The sequence below is a fragment of the Homo sapiens genome, chromosome 17, assembly GCF_000001405.40.
Source record: "Homo sapiens chromosome 17, GRCh38.p14 Primary Assembly".
Lineage (NCBI taxonomy): Eukaryota > Metazoa > Chordata > Mammalia > Primates > Hominidae > Homo > Homo sapiens.
Window position 1 is genome coordinate 34,607,778 of NC_000017.11, and position 17,567 is coordinate 34,625,344.

At 51.0% G+C, this 17,567-nt stretch overlaps 1 protein-coding gene across 1 annotated transcript in view, besides 2 other annotated features; it reads left to right on the plus strand.

The window, feature by feature from the left end:
- Window positions 1–17,567, plus strand: part of TMEM132E (transmembrane protein 132E) — a 59,737-nt gene that overhangs the window by 28,196 nt on the left and 13,974 nt on the right. The window lies entirely within an intron of this gene.
- Window positions 4,938–5,516: an enhancer, noted in NCBI's record as "H3K4me1 hESC enhancer chr17:32939734-32940312 (GRCh37/hg19 assembly coordinates)". NCBI's record gives its function as "activates a minimal SCP1, AML or CMV promoter by ChIP-STARR-seq in naive H9 embryonic stem cells {active_cell/tissue: H9 hESC(naive)}" and the evidence as "EXISTENCE:reporter gene assay evidence [ECO:0000049][PMID:30033119]".
- Window positions 8,177–8,777: an enhancer, noted in NCBI's record as "H3K4me1 hESC enhancer chr17:32942973-32943573 (GRCh37/hg19 assembly coordinates)". NCBI's record gives its function as "activates a minimal SCP1, AML or CMV promoter by ChIP-STARR-seq in primed H9 embryonic stem cells {active_cell/tissue: H9 hESC(primed)}" and the evidence as "EXISTENCE:reporter gene assay evidence [ECO:0000049][PMID:30033119]".

Consider the following 17,567-nt stretch of genomic DNA (forward strand, 5'->3'; position numbering starts at 1 on the left):
TTTATTATTAAGGATACAATGAATCATCAGATGGAGAGGTACATAGGGTGAGGTCTGAAAGGGTCCCGAGTGCAGGAGCTTCTGTCCCCCTGAAGTTGGGGTGTACCACTTTCCCAGCACACGGATATATTGTTCACCAACCTGGGAGACCTCCAAACCCCGTAGTTTAGGTAGGTTTTCAATAAAGGTTCCATTATGTAGGTGTGATTGATTCGATCATTGGCCATTGTTGATTGGCTCAGTCTCCAGCTCTTGTCCCCTCCTTGGAGGTCAGGGAGTGGGGCTGAAGGTTTCAACCTTCTAATCACAAGCTGGTTCCCCTGGCAACCAGCTACAACCTCCTGGAGTCACTCCATTAGCATAAACTCAGGTTTAGTTGAAAAGGGCTTATCATGAATAACAAAAGGTGCTGTTCTCACCCCTATCACTCAGAAATTCTGAGGGTTTTAGGAGCTCTGTGTCAGGAACAGGGATGAAAACCAAATATATATTTCTTATTACGTCACAATGTCACACTTCCCCAGGACGCTCTGCAGATGCATTGGTGCTAGTCAGACCTGAGTTTGAGTTCCAGATCCATCATCTACTAGCGATGATCTTGCACATGGCTAAGCTGCAGTGTCCTGTATACAGTTGGGAAGACGGATGCATATTCTCATGGGAGAATGGAAGGTAGAATACATAAACCACTCGGCACATGCAAGAACCCAGTGAATGGTGCTGTGGCCGTTATTATTGTTCATTATGCAACCCAGGATGGAATTAGCACTTAGCATATCTGTACTCATGAAACTAAAACCTTGTCCTTCCAAGTGGGACTGTACACTTACCCCACGTTGGAGTCTGCAAAGAACTGTTGGGGATATGACTCTGTTATCTGCCTTCTTGTCTCCTCCTCTCAGAAATCAGGATGGAGGGGCTTGGCAGCAAGACGCAGCCGTGGACCATTCAAACCACATAAGACCTCTTTTTCGCAGAGACAGGGGAGCAGGTGGCCTTAGCATTGAAGAAGATATCAATATCATCTGCTCTTTTGTGGCCTCATAGGGAACCTCAAAAATGTCCAGCCGAATACCCCGTCTGATTATTGTAGTCAGAAGGCTAAGGACAGTAAAGCTATGACATGGAGGCCCCTGTTTCCCATCTAGCACTCGCAGCAGACAGCCTTAATCAGTCATGGCTCTCTTCTTCCTCTGAGTTTGGACTCAGATCCTGAGTCATTCCCATCTCAGATTCCTTGGCATGAGAGAGAAAAACCTTTTAACCAGCCTGGCTCTACAGCAGTCGGGACAGTCTTCCTGGAGAAGGTGGGATTTCAGAATTTTGTAAAATGGGGGTGAATCACATTAAGCAGATGTGAGGAAAGCATGTTTTGAGTATGGAGTCTGGGGGGTGTCTGAAGAAGGTCTGTGCCCAGTTCTGCATGTGGCCTGGAAGAGAAGCCTCCGGCTGCCCTGCCTTTCCTGAACCTTCCTCGCAGAGCTTGGGTAAGGCCTCAGGAAGGGTGTGGAATGTGAGAAAAAGGATGAGATGGACGGAAGTGAAGTGAGATGGGGAGAGGTGGGGAGGAAGAGGAACACAACTGTGAGCAGATGAGGTCATCAGGTGAGGGGAGTGGCACCTGCCCCTTTACCTCAGGATGCCTGAGCAGAACCAGAGCAGGGGAGCTCTTTCCTCCCCAGGACCTGACAGATTGCTGAGATAACTTAAGCTGGAGAACTTAATTACAGCACTTGCCTCTCGCCCTATGCACCAGCCCCATGGAACGGCAGCTCTGTCTGCCTCCCCTGCCTTTGCCCTGCTGTCCAAGTGTGTGTGGTATGTGTGGATGTGGAGGAGACAAAGACAAGCACCACCTTGTGGTCTCATTCCCCTGCTCAAGAACCCTAAAGGCTCCCTATTGCTCATGCCGTGATGGGCAAACTTTTACAAGTATAGGATCTATTATTTTTGCAACAGTCTATGTGAAAAATCATGACAATAAAAGCTGACCCTGGGACCTGGGACTCCTCTGCAGAGCCCCAGGGCTCTAAGGAGTACAGTTTCAAAACCCCTGGGATAAAATCCACAGACTCCTTAGCTTAGCATTCAAAGCCCTTTGTTCTCTTGGTGTTAACCTGCCGGTCCAGCCCCATCTCTTTGCTTTCCCTCTTCCATGCCACTCAATCCAAACCTGCCTTTAATCCCTGGACCCCACTTGCCACTCTGTTCCCTCCATCCCTGACCCCACCCACCCAGGTCCCACCACACCCAATCAGTCCTCGAGTTTCTACCCATTCTTCAAGATCTTACTACTCAAATGACTCCTGCCCCTGAAAGCCTTTCTTTTGTGGGCATCTGGCTCTCAGAATGCTCAGGGAGCTCTGCACTTCTCCGAAGCCTAGCAGCACTTCCTACCTTTTAGCATGGTTATTTATGTACTTGTCTGATCTCCCTGTTAGCCGGCAAATTCCTTAAGGGCAGAAACTATCTTCTTTATCTCTGTCTCCCTGGCAGTTCCCAGCAGGGTCTGGTGCAGAGAAGGGGCTGAATAAATATTTATTTGTTGAATATCTTTACTGGGTGTCAGTTACAAATCTAGTATTGTACTAGGCAGTCAGGCTGCATGGTGAAAGGCGCGGTCTCTGCCCAAAGCAGGGCCTCCATCTAAGAGAAAGTAAAACATGCAAACCGACAGTTGCAATGCAGAGAAAAAATACAGAATGACAGATGTGAGCAGACCAGAATCCTGCTTAACCCACCCTTGTGTAGTGGTCAAGGAAGGCTTCAAAGAGGAGGTGATGCTGCGAGAAAAAGGACATGTGACACTGATACTGGTGGGCTGAGGGAGGTCCCCAAACACCGGTGCAAAGCAGCTGGTGTCGAGGCTCTTGACACTGTTGTGAGAATGAATTCAAGGATGAGTCAAATAACAGTGAAATCACAGAGATTTATTGCAAAGGGAAAAGTACACACTCAAGAACAGGGAGCGGGAGCATACTCAAGAGAATCATGCAAGTGGGTCGGGGCTGCTACCTTTATGGATTTCTTTGACTGAGGGGTGGAATATTAATGAAAACTCCTGAAAAAGTCGTGATTTCTTGGAACTGTGGTGCTATTCATTTTTATACCAAATATGGATGTTCTCAGAACTGTCATGGCACTGGTGGATGTGTGATTTAGTGTGTTAATGAGTGGATAATGAGGTCCTAGGTGAAACCTAGATCAAATCCAGTGCCATATTGGGTCCAGTCGGTCTTAGCCAACTTGATTCACAACCTGTTTTTCAGGGTCTTATCAGCCCATAGCCTCTAGTCATGTGAAACTGCTGCCTGGAATTTTTTATTCTTGTCTCAACACCTACCAGGTGGAATGTGTGAGGAACAACACAGCAGACAGAGGGAACAGCATGTGCAAAGGCACAGAGGCAGAAAGAGTATGACTGGAGATGCCCAGACCTGGGGGTGTGGGTTGGGGAGTGGGAGAAGGGAACTCAAGAGCAGGCAGGGGTGGGACAAAGGAAACACTTGTGGAAAAGTTGGATTGGGAAGTAGGAAGGTAAGCAGCCCTAAGAGATGAGAAATGAGCTAAAATGAGACAGAATGGCAGATGGGAGAGGAGGGAGCTGTGAGACCTTGGGTGGGCTTTTTCTCCTCTCTGGACCTTAGTCTTTTCTGGAAAATGAGTGGTTTGAACTACAGTCTTGAAGGCCCCTTTCCAGCACTGAGTTAGAAGTGCTGATGAAGCAGCAGCCAGACAACTGTCAATCAATCAATATCGTGCCAAGAGAAACCAAGTATAATAAGGCGTAGGCTTGGAGGGGTGGTTAGAACAGGAAAGAGCCCATCAGGGAGGGCCCTGTGGGGAAGACCAGGCAGCTGGAGAGTGGGGACGTCACGTGCGAGCCAGGGTCTAGGAGAAGCACTCTGCCTGGATTCCCATATTCACTCCACAACAATTATGTATGGGTAGGTTTTGTTAGCTCCATTTTGTAGATAGGGAAGCTGAGGTTCAAAGACTAAGTGTCTTGAATTCACGGTGATGATTCCAGGGGCTTCCATCCTCCACCCCCAACAGAAGAAACTGGCCCAGTCCCCAGTCACCTCTGCACACATTGCAGGTCTCTTTTCTGGGCCTTGTCACCACCCTATGGGGCAGAGAAGGGAGGTTAGCCTCATTCTGAGGGTAACTAACTGTCCCAGTTGGCCTGGGACCGAGGGTCTACTATTAAACCTGTAGTAGTCTCAGGCAAACCAGGACAAGTTGATCAGCCTACTTATTCCACAGATGGTGAACTGAGGCCCAAGTCACCCCTGGCAGGTGGCAGTGCCCTAGACCCCCAGAGTTTGCCCTACTCTCAACGCACACACACCTGCTGCCTAGAGACCAGCTCAGGAAGGGGGCTGTCCTTCCCAGCCACCCAATTCTCTAGGCTTCATGTGACCTGGCCCTGAGTTGGAGGCCACTGAAGACACTAGGAAAGTAGACAGCATGTAACTGAGTCAGGGAAACCAAGCTAAGACTCAAAGCGCAGAAAGGAAGTGGTCAATTCGGGGCTGAGGAAAGCAGGCTCCTCCTCCAGGGGCAGGTGCCCAGAGGGGCTTGGAATGTGCTCTGCTGTTGCTTCACTCTCCTCCCCAACTGGAAATGCCCTGGCTTTTCCAGCAGGGGCCTTGGCTTATGGGACCCAACTGTGGAGCCCCGGCAGAGCCCCCACTCAGAGGTAGGAGTGTGAGTTCCAAAGCCCACTCTCTGCCACTAAACCTCTGGGATCTTGAACAAATATCTTCCCTTTTCTAGGCCTCAGTTAAAACAGGCATCAGAATATGGTCCAAGTCTCAGGAATGTCGTCAAAACATCAGAGATCATTCACACACAAGTGCCTGGCAGAGCAGTGAGGAAGTCCCACCTTCATGACCAAGCCCACCTCCAGCTCAGGTCTGGGATCATAGCTCAGGGGATCTCTACACCTGGTCCCCAACTTCCAGGCTCACTGCTCCCATGAAGTGAGCCCAGGACCAGGGAAATCAGGAGGGCCGGTGGGGCCTAACCTCAGCTGTGTGTTTTGGGGAAGCCTTTCAGCCTCTCTCAGCTTTGGTTCCGTCACTGGGGGGGGCAGTGGGGTGGGAAAGATGCAGTTTTCCCAGAGTTATTGTGAGGTTGGGGTGACACTCAGCCAGTACCTAGCACTCCAGAGGCAGCCTCTAAATGTTAGGGGGACCCCATGTCCCCCACCCTGCACCTCTAAGGCTGCTGTTTGTTGCAGCTCTTACCTTGCCCAGGGCTGAATGGGCTGGAGGGGTGAGGTGGTTCCCCAGCTTCCCCCAGAGCCTCCCCTCCCAAAGCCCAGCTCCAAAACCTTCTCCACCCACTGCAGGCCTATGGTGGCACTCACACTCTCTCTCTCTCTCTCTCTCTACACACACACACACACACACACCCACACACACACACACGCGCGCGCGCGCGCGTTCTTACATTCTTTTTCCGTTGTTTGCGGCTAATTGTTTATTAGGAGATGCAGGCGGCTGTGCCAGTGGGAAGGCTCAGCTTGCTCTGCTATAATTAGGATAATGCACATTAGTCATTTAGTGTAACTCTGAGAGCAGCCCCCTCCCCCGCACTCCCCTCCCCCGCTGCTCCTGCTTAGCTGGCTGGGTTCCCAGGCCAGGGCTGTGCAGGTTTGTTCAGGTTCCCTCCTGGGCCTTCTCGGTTGGCCCTGGCTCTACCTCACTACTAGTCCGTCCAGCAGTCCCTAAGCCCCCCACTGCCTCCCCTGACTCCAGGATAGGGTTTTCTCTATTTTCTCTCTCCAGGCTTATCTCCTATTTCCTTCCTCTCTGTCCCCTCTTTCTCCGCCTCCCCCTATCTCTTTCCTTTGAACCCTAGCTTTCTCTCCCTCTCCCCTGTTCTCAGCCCTTCTCCCTAGCTTCTGCACCCTTGCCTTATTGCGGGGGTCTCTCTCCCTCCCCCAGCCCTCCATGGGTAGGTAGCCCAGCAGAGCAGGTCAAGCCTACACTCCAGGCCCTGGGGGGTTGGTGGCAGTTCTCCTCTCTGGCGTGACTGTAGGAGGTAGTCCAGACCCTCTCCCTGGAGCCTGATCCTCAGGAGGTTGTCCTTGCTGCTGCCTTCCCTGACACTCCCCGCCCCCAAACACAACCCACTGTTTTTGGCTGAGGACTAGGCTGGCAAAGGTAGGCCATTGTCTCCAAAAGGCCCTTCCCACAAGCACACCAGTGTGGCCTCCTTGCCTTGTTCCCCCCTTCCCTCGTGGTCATCCTGAGATCCAAGAAATTGGGCCCCACAGGAGGCTAGGGTGCTGGGGGGTGAAGGTGAGGGCTCTCATCATGCTGGCTGGAGCAGGTAGCCCTCTGTTTCATGTGGCCTGGATTGGGCACCAGGCAGCCGGGTGGTAGGGAGTATCTTTTCCACTAGGAAAGAGAGGCTCTTCAACAGTGTCTTTTTGTCTCTAGCTGCACAGCCGCTGGCCAACTCCAGACCTGCTGACAAATAAACCTCCTGACCCCTATTCCTACATCCCTGAGACCCCCACGCAGCCCTTTCCATCACAAAAGGGACCTCACATCAAAGCCCATTACAGCTAGGCAGACTGAGCTCTAGGGCCAAGGGTTTGCCCTGCAGGTCGCTGCTGGGGTAAGGGTGAGGGTGGGGTCCCTCCAGTGTTTCAGAAATAAAAGAGCTGTTCCCAGGGGTAAGCGATGCTTGATTGGAAGTACAAAGCCTTTCTTGTCTTCATAAGCCTGTTGATGTCTCTGGTCCTGATCCTGAAATCACAGATGCAGACAGACTAACAGACACAGGCTTACAACTTGCAGGGCAGGCTCACAGAGCAGGTACCACAGAGGGCCTGGGGTCACTGTGCACTTGGAAGGGCCAGAGCTTCTGTCCCCTACATCTGATATCTCTCCTCTGCCTGGACTCTCCATGCAACAACTGGGCCTCCAAACTCCAAGCCCCTCTTGCCTTGGGACCCCTCCAGCCCAGGGACACCAGCCTGAGTTGTACATATTGTAGTCCCTGCCCCTAGAGGTCCACATCACCCTATCCTGAACTACTCCTTCTCACCCTCCTTCTCTATCATGTGCCCCGAGGCTCTGTCCCTCAGTGCCATGTGCAGCTTACAGGATCCCATGGGAGCAGAGTCTAGAGGGGAAGGGAGGGACCATGGCCCAGCTGATCTCCCAGGACCAGGGAACCTTTCCTTGGCCTCCTCTTGGGATTGCTTCCCCATAGGTGGCAAGGCTCCAGGGGCCAGAGGAAGGTACCCCTGAGACTAGCAGGGAACTGGGAAACAAGAGCCCTGGTTTTCAGTAAGTCTCTCATACCACCTTGCTGTATGCTTTCAGCAAGTCTTCCCTCCCTGGGTTTCCCCAGGAGCAGGACTAGGAGGCCAGTTCAGGGGCTGTCCTGGTGGCAGCTTCTTGGGGTCTCATGGCCACCTGTCCTTCTAGTACCCTCGTCCTCCTTCAGGCTTTCAGGAAGCAGACCTAGCCCCCAAGTTAGCTGAGCTTGATTCATTCTTTCATTCACCAATCTGTAGTTTAGTACCCCCCTCCCCGATTCCTCTGCCTAGGTCTCTGTGATTTCCTTCCTTCCTTACTCTCAAAGATGAGGAAGTCACACTGAGCAGCAGGCTTGGTCTGGTTTTAGGCAGAGGGAGCAAAAGGAGTGGCCAGTTTAGGATAGATGTCCCAGGATGGGGTACAGCAAGGGTGCCTGCAAGGGGAAGACTGGCACAGATGTGTGTGTGTGTGTGTGTGTGTGTGTGTGTGTGTTAGCACAACCACCTCCCAGGGCCATCCCAGTCATTCCTTCACTCACTCATTCACTCGACAATCCTCTGTTCCACACAGACCATGTGTAAGACTCTGTGCTAGGTGCCAGGGATTAAAAAAAAACAGCAGGGTCTCCACCCTTAGCGGCAGGCAAGTTGAGCCCCAGTCAGAGCACAAGAGGATTCGCATTGGGTTCACATATAGGAGAGAGGGGAGTCGGTCGCTGGGTCTTGGAGGATCTCTGCCTCCTGACTCAGGAGGCCGTGTGGGGGATCCATTTAATGACGATGATAATAACACTCAGAGAACAGCTAACATTTAAAGAGGGCTGCCTGTGTGCCAGGCACCGCTGAAACATTTCACAGGTAATCTTATAACATAGGCATTTTGTTAGCAAAGCAAGTCAGTGAAAAAGGGGCTATTCTCACTCCGTTGTACAGTTTAGGAAACTGAGGTGGGGGATGTGAAGCCACTTGCCCATGATCACACAGCTAAGAAATGACAGAGCCAGCCTGACCCAAACCTTTGTGACCCTTTTTTCTCATCTGTAAGGTGTACGGGAGGGACCCTGATATCCCTTCAGCTAAGAGATGGGGAGTTCCCAGGCAGATGGCAGGAAACCAGAGCTGCTGGGAGTCAGCAGGCAGGAGGTCTCCTGGGAGGGGATTCAGGGCAAAGTGGAGGAGGGGCGCCCCTCCTGCTGGCCCCTCCCCACAGCTGACTTTTATTCCAACATTGGGTTCCAGCCAAGCATGGGGGTGGGGTGGATAACAGTACTGGGAAGCTGCTTCTCCAGGATTTACAACCTGCCAGGGAGTAGGCAAGAGCCATCTGGGGGCTGCTAGCTGCTGGTGGCTTCAGTGGCTCTTCCTCCCACCCACCCACTGAGGGAGTGGCCACAGCATGGAGTCAGTGATTATGTATTCCCCGGCTACATGTCCTTGCTCTGGGGCTCCTGCTGCTCCTAGCGCAGCCCAGGCTGCAGTCACCCAGAGGCACTCAGTGTTGGGAATACGGTGGAGAGAGGAAAGTGGAGCCTCCAGGTTGATGAGGGAGACACTAGCCTGTGCCAGAGGAGAACCCAGGCTGGTCCTAGAGATGGGGTCTGCAGCTTCGTGGTGGGGAAGGTTTGAGCTGCTTTGGAGGAGGGAGGAGCTACAGGGCTGGGGATGGGGTGGACATCTCCCTCAGACCCCAGACCTCAGGGAGGCACTCATCCCTCTGTCTCTGGACTGGACCCCTCTTCTCCCCTCTGGCCCAATGTGGTTTACTGCAGCTCCAGCCTGGGGTGGGGACATGCCTGTGGGGACCAGCTTAGGTGGTATCTTTGTGCAATTTAGAAAGATACAAAAGCAGCCCCTCACTAGGCACCGGGCTTGGCGAGCAGAGCCGGGGCTGGGTTTTAACCTCTGTTTGCTCCTTGAGCTGTGCATCTTTGTCCAAGACACCAACTGTTCAATAGTATTATACATAGAGGCCCTGCCCTGGTGCTTAGGGAAGGCAGTGTTCAGGGCCCACCGGGCCCAAGTCATCACCTCTCCTTCGGCCAGCTGACTGCTACCTAGTCCAGAACTCCCTGCAGACATAACCGCTACCTACTTCTAGGTCACTCATGTGGCATGCAGAGCAGGGACTATCCTCTTCTCCCAAAGAAAGAAGCTGAGGCCCAGAGAAAGGAAAGAAACTGCCCAAGGTTACGCAGCAGATCAGTGACAGAGCTTTCTGGGCCAAATTCTAGGGCCCCTCAACAGCTGGCACTCCTTCCAGCCTCGGTGCCTCTTTGGAGGCCTTTGGGACACTGCTCCATGTGCCTGTCATCTCTGTACTTGTCTTATTTAACTTAACCAACCTTGGCAGAAGACCTGCGTGAGCCAGACAATGCACCAAGTGCAGGAGAAAAACAGGTGAGCACTTCCCTCCTCTCAGAACTAAATAACCAATAAATGTTGAATGAATGAATGAATGAATGAATGAACGAATGAACACTGAGCACCAACTTTGTACCAGAAATTACACCAAGCGAGCAATTTGCTTATTTAATCACAACTCTGTGAAATAGGTTCTAAGCTCTTCATTTCACAGGTATGGAAATTGAGGCTCTGAGAGGTTAAGTAACTTGCCCAAGGACACACAGCTATGTCAGAGCTGAAATTTGACTGAGAGTTTATGTGACTCCAAAGCCAAACGGGCTCTTTCTTATTTTTTTAAGGATTTCCTCTTTAAAAAAAATTCTTGGAACAACTTCAAACACTTTCATTTATTTTAAATGGCATTTATTTTTCCCTTTCTAATTTTACAAGCAATGTGTGTTCATTGCAGACAACTGGAAAATACATAAAAACATAAAGTAAAATATAGCAATCATCCATAATCCCCACCCCCTAGAGATAACCACCATTAGCATTTTGATACATTTCTTCCCAGTGTTTACATCTTTGTACATAAAATTGGTATTATGCCATATAGCCAGTTTAATGCCCTGCTTTGTTAATTCGCACTATTTTGTGAACATTTTCCCATTCAGGTAAATATTATTTTTGAAAACTTGATCTACAATGGCTGCATATATCCATTTTTATGCATTTGCATTTATTTAATCTAACTCTGCTTTTGACATTTAGGTTGTTTCTAATTTTTTACTATAAACATAGCATTACAGTGAACATCTATGTAAATTTTTTTGTTTTTTGTTTGTTTGTTTTAGAGACAGGGTCTCACTCTGTTGCCCAGGCTGGAATGCAGTGATGTGATCATAGCTCACTGCAGCCTTGAACTTCTGGGCTCAAGTGATCCTCCTGTCTCAGCCTCCCAAGTAGTTGGGACCACAGGTCCACGTCTGGTGATTTTTTTTTTTTTTTTTTGAGAGATGGGATCTCGCTTTGTTGTCCAAGCTGGTCTCAAACTCCTGGTCTCAAGCGATCCTCCCTCCTGAGCCTCCCAAAGTGCTGGAATTATAGGAGTAAGCCACCATGCCCGGCCAACATTTGTAAATCTTTGAGCAGATTTCTGTTTATTAGATTCCCAAAGCAGGATTTCTTGGGTCAAAGAGCATGAACAGTTTTAAGACCTTTAAAGCATATTTTGTAATTGCTTTCTAGAAAGCTTACCTAGTTCACCCTCCACTAGGAGGGCAGAGGAGTGCACCAGTTCTTTAGCCCCTTGCTAACACTGGGTATCGCTGATTTTTTAAAAAATGAAACATCTTTCTCAAGACCCAGGTTTTTCCCACTGCAACGCTCTGCTCCACAGGAATGATTTGGTATCATGGGCTAATAATTCCCCATTTGCCTAGGGGGAAGTACGGCCCTGGAGAGCAGAAATGACCTGCTAGGTCAGATTTGCCAATCAGCCAAGGAAGAGCAGGCCTGGAACCCAGGCATCCTTCCTCCCAGTTCAGAGCCCTCTTCTTTATACCCTTGGCCTCAGCTTCCTCCACCGCAGGTCTCCTGGGTTGGGGGTGTTTCCCCAGGGCCAGTCCGTCCTACTCCCTTAGGTTATACCACTCCTGTGGTCCTCCAGGTCTGGGTTGGGGTGGGGTTGCTGGGCAGAGCCTATTTCTGGCCTCTTCATCATGGACCACATAGCACCTGGGATTCTCACCACTGGCACTAATCATGGCTCATGCCCCCTCTCATTCATTCATTCATTCATTCATAGATTTGACAAAAAGATGTGTTTTGCATCTATATGGGCCAGGCACTGTTCTAGGCTCGGGGTACTTGTCATCATTAACTATCAGCAACGCCAACGTTATGCTGCGCAAGTCACAGCCTCTTCAGCATCTTCACCAGCTCTTCCTACTTAGCGCTATGTTCCAAGCATCTGCCATAATAACAACGCCTGGAATGCTTCATAAATATACAGATACCAGGCCTGTCCCCTGGAAATTCTCACTGTATAGGCACTAATCATGGCTCATGCCCCCTCTCATTCATTCATTCATTCATTCATTCGTAGATTTGATAAAAAAGGTGTTTCACATCTACATGGGCCAGGCACTGTTCTAGGCTCTGGGTACTTGTCACCATTAACTATCAGCAATGTCAGCGTTATGCTGTGCAAGTCACAGCCTCTTCAGCATCTTCACCAACCCTTCCTACTTAGTGCTATGTTCCAAGCATCTGCCATGATAACAATGCCTGGGGTGCTTCATAAACGTGGATACCAGGCCTGTCCCCTGGAAATTCTGACTGTATAAGCCTGGGCCCTTCCGTAGGCATTGTTTGCTGTTGTTTTGTTTGCTCTGGTTGATTCCTATATTCAGGCAAACCCAGGAGCAAGTGCTAACAGATCCCTAAACACTGACATCTGGTGTGGATGCATGTGCATGTGCACACAGAGGTGAGCAGGCCAAGCTCCCTCCCAGCACAGCCCAGCACCCTTGAGCCCTGCTGGCACACCTGCTGTGCCTCTGAACCACAAACTCACCAAACCTAATGACAATTTTTTTTCTGATTTGCAAGAGATTAGTTTTAATTTGGAGACAATTAGAGGTAGAAGCAGGAGGCATCAGATCTTGATTAGAAGCAGAGACATGGCCAGGGGAGCCCCCACCCCTAGCCTGCCCGGCCCTAGCTTCCACAGAGATTCATTTATGTGCCCAATAAGGTAGGGGCTGGCCTCTGCACCTGGGGAGAAGGTTGTCTGGGAGAGGCAGAGGGCCCCTGCTGTGCTCCCAGACACCTAAGGCAAGCCTGGGCAGGTACCCCCAACCTCAGAAAAGTATGGAATTGACATTTGTTTCAGCACCCACTGTGTTCCACTTGAGTTGGGCATCTTTGTCCAAGACACCAACTGTTCTATAGTATTATATATAGAGGCCCTGTCCTGGTGGTTAGGGAGGGCAGTGTTCAGGGCCCACCGGGCCCAAGTCATCACCTCTCCTTCAGCCAGCTGACCTTGTACTACGCAAAGCTGGTCCAGCCCCAGTGTACACCAATATCCCAGTTCAGCTGCATAGGCAGAGGTATGAAAAACAACTATGTGCCATCTAATGGTGGAGACGGCTTGAGAGACCTCTGTGCAGGCACAGGGACACAGGAGCCAGTGTCTCATGGCCCCAGGGGAGCAATCACAGAAGTGACTAATGAGAGAGTTCCCAGATCACATGCGTTTCACTCATACCAGGACCAGGATCCTCCTGATCTGTCAGAGTCAGAGCTGGCCAGAGCAGAACAGTGGCAGAGAGGAGGAGGGGTTGAATGACTAGGATGGTGGCCGTGAGAGGTATCAGCGAAGGCTTCAAGGAGGAGGCAGTGGCTGAGCTGGGCATGGAAGGATGAGGGGGACCCCCACATCCTCCCACATGCAAGTCTGCTCTTGGGTCTTGTTGGGTCAGATACCCTCCTGCAGAGCTGGTGAAGCCACTATTCATGTATTTGTCTTTTTGGGTTGTGAGAAGAACAGAGCTGGTCCAGCTCATATGGAAAGGGTCCCTCGCTAAGCACAGTCTGGCAGGGGTCGGGGAGGCTGGGGAGAGCTGGGAACACCTCAGTCATCATCATTATCCCCATGTGCAAAAGCTGGATGATCCCAGCCTGTCTTCCTCCCCCTGTATGTTGTCTCTACATTTTACTGGGGAAACTGAGGCTCGGAGGGGCAGAAATACCAAATCCCCATGTATCAGTTTGCTAGGGCTGCCATGACAAAGTTCCACAGGCTGGGTGGCTTAACAGAAATTTATTTTCTCACAGTTCTGGGGGCTGGAAGTCTGAGGTCAAGGTGTCAGCAGGATTGATTTCTGGTGAGGGTTGTCTTCCTGGCTCGTAGACAGCTACCTTCTCACTGTGTCTTCACAACTTCTCTCTGTGTGTGTCTGCATCCTCATCTCTTCTTCTTATAAGTACACCAGTCATATTGGATTAGGGCCCACCCTCACAGCTTAATTTTAAGCCTAGTAGCCTCTTTAAGGATCCTGTCTTCAAATACAGCCATATTCTGAGATACGGAGGGTTAGGATCTCAAGGGCAGGGCACAGTTCAGCCCATAACACCCCATCATAAGTCAGAGGAGACATGGAGAAGCCCCTTTTCTCAGGAGACGGCAGCAAGGGAGAGGGTCCCAGGGCCAGACCCAAATGACTGAAGACCAAGTCAGAGCCCAGGTCATCAGCAGGAAGGCAGCAGGCAAACTGGTCTGCAGGGCAAGCTGGGGTCAAAACAGAACTGCAGCCTGGGGGCCCAGTGGAGCCAGGGTTCAGAACCAGGCCCACGGAATTGTTATGGGCAGCCTGCTGTGGAAGTGGGGGGCGGGCAGGTGCCAGCCTGTGTGTGTGTGTGTGTGTGTGTCCTCCCAGGTCAGTCTGGAGGGCATAGGCACACCTTAGTGTTGTGCGTCCAAGGTGGGTCCAAGCAGTGCCTTCCCCCACAACCTCTCTTCTCTCCCACCTCCAGTCCTGGCCTGACCTCAGTTTCTGTGTTGATCAGCCTCCCTTCTCCCCACCCCACATCTGTCTTCCTTCAAGGAACCTTCCAGTAGCTTTTCCTCCCATGCCATGCTCCATGATGTCTGGCAGTCAGAGCTCTGTGCCGAGATGCAGGCCAGAGTGCATGTTAGCACACACGCGTGTGTGCACTCAAGCACATATTTAGTGTCTCTGAAAACTTGACAGACCAACTGATCTGCTCATTCCACCAGTCTTACCTCTTCCCTCTCTAGCCACACCAGAACGCTTCCAGGGCCTTCTCCACCTCCCAGGAGAAACTGAGGTCCAGAGAGATCAAGCAGGTTCCTTTAAGCTCCAGAACAAGTGAGTGGGAGAGCAGAGATTAGTGTTAGGTCTCAGGGACCCACCCTGCTCCAATGCTGAGGAGACTGAAGGGCCCCAGCAGGATGGAATGGTTCATGGTGGTGATGGGAGAGGCTGCTGTGGGCCACAGTGACATAAATAAAAAATTGCAATGCCCTAATGTCAGCTTTCCGGCTCCCTCTTCTGAATGCCAGCTGTTTTCTTGATACAGGTTACTTCCCCTTCCAGAAACTCAGCTTTCTTATCTGCAAGGTTGCTGACAGGGTCCAGAGCCCCTAGGCCTGGTGCCAGGAGCCCTCCCCTCAGTGGCCACCCAGTCTCCTCTTGGATGCCCCATTGACAAGGAACTCATTACCCTCACAGCATCCCAGTCACTGCCGGGCTGCTTATTCAGAGAATTTCATTCTTTCAACAAAAATATATTGAGGGCCTGCCTGCTATGTGCCAGGCCATGTTGTAAGCACTAAAATAGAGCAGGGAGTAAAGCCATGTCTGTGCCCCTGTGGAACTTAATTTCTAGTTGGCAGAAACAGACACATGCATATAATATAGAGGTAAGTGGCGGTAAGTGCTATGAAGAAAATGAAACAGGAAAAGGGATAGAGAGAGATCAGTGGTGGGGCTGGGGGAGAGACAGCGCTACTTTAGATAAATGATCAGGAGTATGTCCCTAAACAAAGATTGATGAGAGAGAGAGAGAAAAGAGAGGGGGAGAGAAACATTGAATATCAAGGGGAGAAAATTCAAGGCAGGAGGAACGGCAATGCAAAGGCCCTGGGGTAGAAATATTTTCTCAGTGTAATCCAAGAACAGCAAATGGTTTGGATGATCCAGGATGTTGGTTTTGCCAGACCAGGTCCTCCCCCAGGGGGGGTGAGGGGATCCGGGTGGGGCATGCAGTCACAATTGTCCAATCCCTTCCTTCATGCCCCTCTGAGTCCGGTGCCCATCTGGTGGTCTCTGCCCCTGCCGTGCCTCCAAGGAATCCAGATGGTCAGCCGTGAAGTTGGAACAGTAAGAGAGGGCAAAGGGGACTAAGTGCCACTTAGCAGCTCTGGGGTCTCCAGGGGATGGATAACTAAGGCAGGGCTAGTACCCGCTCCCCCCCCCCCCCCCGTCCCTCTACAGCCTGGATAGTGAGCACTGAGAGCCCACTGACCACAGCTGCCCTTCTCCCAGCCCAGAGGGAGGAGCGTGGGGCCCCACCTTGGCCTCAGCACTCAAAGGCCCTGTACCTCCCCATACATGCAGCAGTGCCCCTGCCCTGGGCTGCTCTGCAGGTCCCAGAGGATGTCCTGTTCTTGGTCTTTCAGCTACTCTCAACATCCCTGTGAGGGGGAGGGACTGATGTCACCACCACAACTTTAGAGGTGGAAATGGAGGCTCAAAATGGAAAGCAACTTGCACAGTGAGTCTGTGGCAGGGAGAGGGCTTGCACTTGAGTCCCAAAGCCAGTTGGTTCGCCTGCTTGCTGCTGCTTCCAAAGCAGGGTCCAAATGTGGACCCTGCATTTCCACAGTTGGCCTCGGGGCCAGCATTCCCCAGGCTGCAGGGACACGTTATGAGACCTAGGCACCAGCCAGAAAAGCTCTCCCCATCTCTGCAAACAACTTCCTGTCCTCACTTGGACTCTGCTGCACACCCCCACCCCACCATCAGCTCCCAGCATTTCTTGCCGGTGATTTCCCCAGTTGGTCCTAAGGGCTGCTCACGTCCTTCCGAGCATGCCACAGGAGAAGTGGTGAGAGCATGTGCCACGCCTCTTAAAACAACTGACCCCGAGGGCCTTTGTCATGCCCCAAGCCTGTTGCCTTATTTTTTGAACAAGGAAGATTACTGCAGATTTTATTTTTTTGAAGGATATTGAGACCAGAGCCTCAAGAGCAAGGAATTTTTAGTTCACCGCTTTTGCGAGGAACTGGATGTGAATGTTTGTGAAACTGCCAAGGTTTAACTGACAGTGGTAAAATGATAAATATGCATAAACTGCAAGTAATATCTAGTACTGACTAGGAGTCTCCTCTTTGGGACATAGGTCTCTGCAGATCACTCAGTGTAGATCAGCCATGATTTGTTGAAGGCTTTCTTGGCGCAAGGCCAGGTAGGTAACTAACTCCCACACAGGCAGGATGGGAGGTCCCTTCAGAGAAGGACAAAGCTCTGAGGAAACCCCCAGGAGTTGAGGGCACATCTTGGAGGGCTTCATGAAGGAGGTGGCATTGAAGCTGGACCCTGGAGGAAGATTCAGATTTGGATATGCACAGATAGGAAAGGAGATAATCTAATGCAGAGGGTGCAGCATGAACAAAGGAGGGGAGATAAGGCAGCAGCCGTGAGTGTGAAGGTGAGTGAGTTGTCCAGTTACGCCACCAGCAGGGGATTGGGAGGAGTCCTAGGAGAAAAAGGATCCTGACGCCTTGTGTAGGGGGCCCTGAATGTCACACTCAGGTACAAAGTGAGTTTGGATTTTATTTTGTAAGCAGATAGGAGCGCTTCTTTGATATACACACATTTGCATTGTGTTGCACAATTTATAGAGTGCTTTCTTATTTGATTCTGAGAAACAAAACAAATGACAACACAGCCTCCTGCGAGACCAGCATTACTGTTATCATTGTCCTGTTTTTACAGTTGAGGAATGTGACTCGGGAGGTTCTTGGGGAGATCCAAAATAAGATTTCAAACCTCAAACCTCCGTTTGGGTCCTTCCTGTTCCTTGACAGTGTCCAACGAGTTTTGGGCTGGGAGTGAGAGGGGCAACAATGTCTGATTTGTGTCCAGGAGAAAAAAATACTCTGGCTACTGTGTGGGGGAGGAGAATGCCAGAGAGGAGGGGAGACCCTATTGGCCAGTGGTATGTCGTCATAGCGACAGCAGTAAGGCCAGAATGGGGGCAGGGAGGGAGGACAAGGGGCAGCCTGAGGTGGAATTGCCAGAAGTTGGCAGCTTCCTTGGTGGGTAGGGAGAGGCAGTTAAGAGGAGGGAGGAGGCCCATGTTTAGGTGTGGGAGACTGAGGATAAAATTTCCTGGTTATATAGTCTGT